Here is a 3894-nt window from a genome sequence, read left to right as displayed (position 1 = left end):
TTCCACCAGATTTTCATCAAATTTCCTGGATCTCTGGTTTGAAGTGATTTGTCATTTTTGGAAATATTTCACCCATTATTACTGCAAATATTCTTCTGCTGAGATCTCTTTTTTTCAATGCATTGTATTCCAGTTACCTCTGCATTAAACCTTTTGAAAATTTCCCGCAGTCCTTGGATATTCTCTTCTTTTTCTTAAGCTGCTTTTTCTTTGCAATTAAGTTTGGAGTTTCTACTGACCTGTCTTTAAGCATACTGATTCTATCCTTGGTCATGTTGAATCTACTTATAAGCCTATCAAAAGCATCTTCATTTCTCTTCCAGTTTTTAAACATTTATATTATTTCATTTTGATTCTTTTTTTGTTTCATTTACCTGATTTTATAACTCATCTGTTCTTGTAAGTTGTCTTTTTTTTTTTTTTTACATTAGAGACCTCAGCATATTAATCATGGTTATTTTCTGTCTGATGATTCCAAAATCTGTCTCATACCTGCGTCTGGATCTGCTGCTTTTCTTTTCTATTCAATGTGTTTTCCTTTTCCCGTTTAGCAGGACTCATATTTCTTAGTTGAAACCTGGATACAATGTATCAGGTAATATAAATTAAAGTAATAGGCATCTAGTGTGAGGTTCTTTGTTAATATGGTTAGGATTTGAGCTGTTCTTAATGTTTGCTGTACTGGTAGTTCTGATTACAGCTTTTTCACCTCAGAATATGATTTCCCTTGCCTTTTGGTGTGACTTGTCTTTTTGTTGTTGTTGTTGATTTTGGAAAACCGGATGTGTTGTACTAAGAAATAGAAAGTGAATTAAATGGGACTTTGGTTTATGTGGCTATGTGTTGGGCTTTGTTTAATGTTTGCTATAGGTAGAAGTGGTAATGTCTTCACATTTCTCTGGTATTTTTGTTTCCATCTTCTAGACTCACTAAATTATTCTACTTAGAGAAGAAAGTCTATGTATTGCAACTTTTTAAGTGGCAATTCAGTATTATGCTGATGCCCTATTGGTGAGATGATGAGAGGAAAAACAACTTACAATCTTTCAATTAAGTCTTAGCCTTTTAGTGGATTTGTATTTCTGACTGTGACCTTCAAATATGTTTCTTCTTAAACAGCTTCCCATCTTTCCATCTAAGCCACCCATACCTGTTCAGACAGAAAGACTAGAAGAGGCTAGAACAAATGGCTTTCCCTCGTGGTCCTGGAACAAGGCTCTGATAAATTCGTTCCCCCTGGGAAATGGTTTTCTCATGTAGACGACACTTAGCAGGTTTCACAATGATTGCTTCTGTCCTCACTAGGCTATATTTAGAATGGCAGCTTTCTCAGATTTTCACTGGGAGAATCTGGTGTCACTTCAGACAGGAAATGAAAGTGTGAGTTTCTCTTAAGCTTGAGGCTCCCAACACTCTCTCACACTTGTGGTAGTTCACACTCAACATCCAGTAATTAATTAAAATATTTTTTATTTGACATTTTTTATATTTAATTTTTTGGGGACATAGGCATATATATTTATGGGGTACATGAGATGTTTTGATATAGACATACAATGCACAATAATCACATCATAGGAAATAGGGTGTCTATCACTCAAGCATTTATCCTTTGTGTTACAAACAATCCAATTATACTCTTTTAGTTATTTTTAAGTGTACAATCAAGTTATTATTGACCATAGTCAACCTGTTACACTATCAAATAGCAGGTCTTATTCATTCTTTCTATTTTTTTGTACCCATTAACCACCTCCACCTTCCCTTTACACTTCCCCACTATTCTTCCCAGTCTCTGGTAACCATCCTTCTACTCTCCATGTCCATGAGGTCAAATATTTTGAGTTTTAGATCCCACAAATAAGTAAGAATATGTGATGTTTGTTTTTCTGCACCTGGCTTATTTCACTTACCATAGTGATCTCCAGTTTCAAACATATTGTTGCAAATGACAGAATTCTTTTGTTATAGATGAATAGTTCTTCACTCTGTATATGTAGTACTCCATTGTGTATATGTACTACATTTTCTTTATCTGTTCATCTGTTGATGGGCATTTAGATTGTTTCCAAGTCTTATATATTGTGAACAGAGCTGCAACAAGCATGGGAGTGCAGATATCTCTTTGATATACTATTTCCTTTCTTTTGGATACATACCCAGCAGTGGGATTGCTGGATCATATGGTAGCTACATTTTTATTTTGTTTGAAAAACCTCCAAACTGTTTTCTATAGTATTGTACTAATTTACATTCCCACAATGGTGTACAAGTGTTCCCTTTTCTCCACATCCTCACCAGCATTTGTTATTGCCTGTCTTTTGGCAATAAATGATTGCCAATAAAATAAGCCATTTTAACTATGGTGAGAGATATCTCATTGTAGTTTTGATTTGCATTTCTCTGGTGAACAGTGATATTGAGCACATTTTCATATGCCTGTTTGCTATTTGTATGATTTCTTTTGAGAAATGTCTATTTGAATCTTTTGCCAATTTTTTGATGGGATTATTAGATTTTTTCCAAAGTTGTTTGAGCTCCTTATATATTCTCATTATTAACCCTTGTCAGATGAGTAGTTTGCAAACATTTTCTTTCATTCTGTGGGTTGCATCTTCACTTTGTTAACTGTATCCTCTGCTGTGCAGAAGCTTTATTACTTGATGTGACTCAATTTGTCCATTTTGCTTTGGTTATCTGGGCTTGTGGGGTATTTCTCAATAAATTTTTCCTCAAACCAATGTTCTGGGGATTTTCTTCAACGTTTTCTTGTCATAGTTTTGTAATTTGAGATGTTAGATTTAAATCTTGAATCCATTTTGATTTCATTTGATATATGCCAAGAGAAGAGGGTCTAGTTTCATTCTTCTGCATATAGATCCAGTTTACCCAGCACCATTTATTGAAGAGACTGTCTTTTCCTTAATGTATGTTTTTGGCAGCTTTGTCAAAAATGAGTTCACTGTAGGTGTGTGAATTTTTTCTGAGTTCTCTATTCTGCTCCATTGGTCTATGTGCCTGTTTTTATGCCAGTTTTATGTCTGTTTTTATGCCATGCTGTTTTGGTTACTATAGCTCTGTAGTATAATTTGAAGTTCAGTAATGTGATGCCTCCAGTTTTGTTCTTTCTGCTTAGAATAACTTTGGCTTCTTTTTGCTTAGAATGGTTTTGGCAATTTTAGGGTTTTTTCAAATTAATTAAACAAAATTAATGTAAGTATCTCTACAAGTTTGTGGTTCTACTGCTTCTGCTATAGGAAAGGAGATTTCATCTGACTATCTGAAGTCACCTGTCTCTCCCGATTTTGGAGTGGCTGTTGTTGATGAATCCAAGAAAAGTCATTGATTTTTCAGTGTGTCAAGGTTTTTCTTGTTCTTCCTAGGCTTTCACATGTTGGAGTTAAAACTGGAAGTCTCTGGTAGGTTTTTAAAGCAGTTTAATTTCAGAAAATTATTAGAAATTTTACTATTTTTTTCCCAAGTGGCCATATGGTAAAATCTATAGTCATGTAAAGACCTCCAGTTTCAAATTTGTAATAAATTCTCACCTTGGACAAGGCATGGAAGAAATTGTTAAACTCTAGTAGGGTGAGGAAGGGGGCTTCAAACTGAGTGGTTACCCTCAACATCTGAGATATTGCCTTCCACAATTCTGAATTTCAATTTTGAGTTTTGAGTTAGATATATATTAAATATTTACTGAACAGATTTGAATTCACTTCAGCTAATGCAGGGCTTCAAATAAGATTAGATTTGTGTGATGCAAGTAACCATAGAATCAGTATTTCCAAAGAATTGTTAATTGAAACAATATAGGAGGATTTTTTATATTCAAGGAATATAATTTTTATCTAAAATACAGATGTTTAATAAGGGTATGGTTTAAAAATGTAT

This window comes from Homo sapiens, chromosome 1 (genome assembly GCF_000001405.40).
Source record: "Homo sapiens chromosome 1, GRCh38.p14 Primary Assembly".
NCBI classification, from domain to species: domain Eukaryota; kingdom Metazoa; phylum Chordata; class Mammalia; order Primates; family Hominidae; genus Homo; species Homo sapiens.
This window is presented reverse-complemented; position numbering follows the sequence as displayed.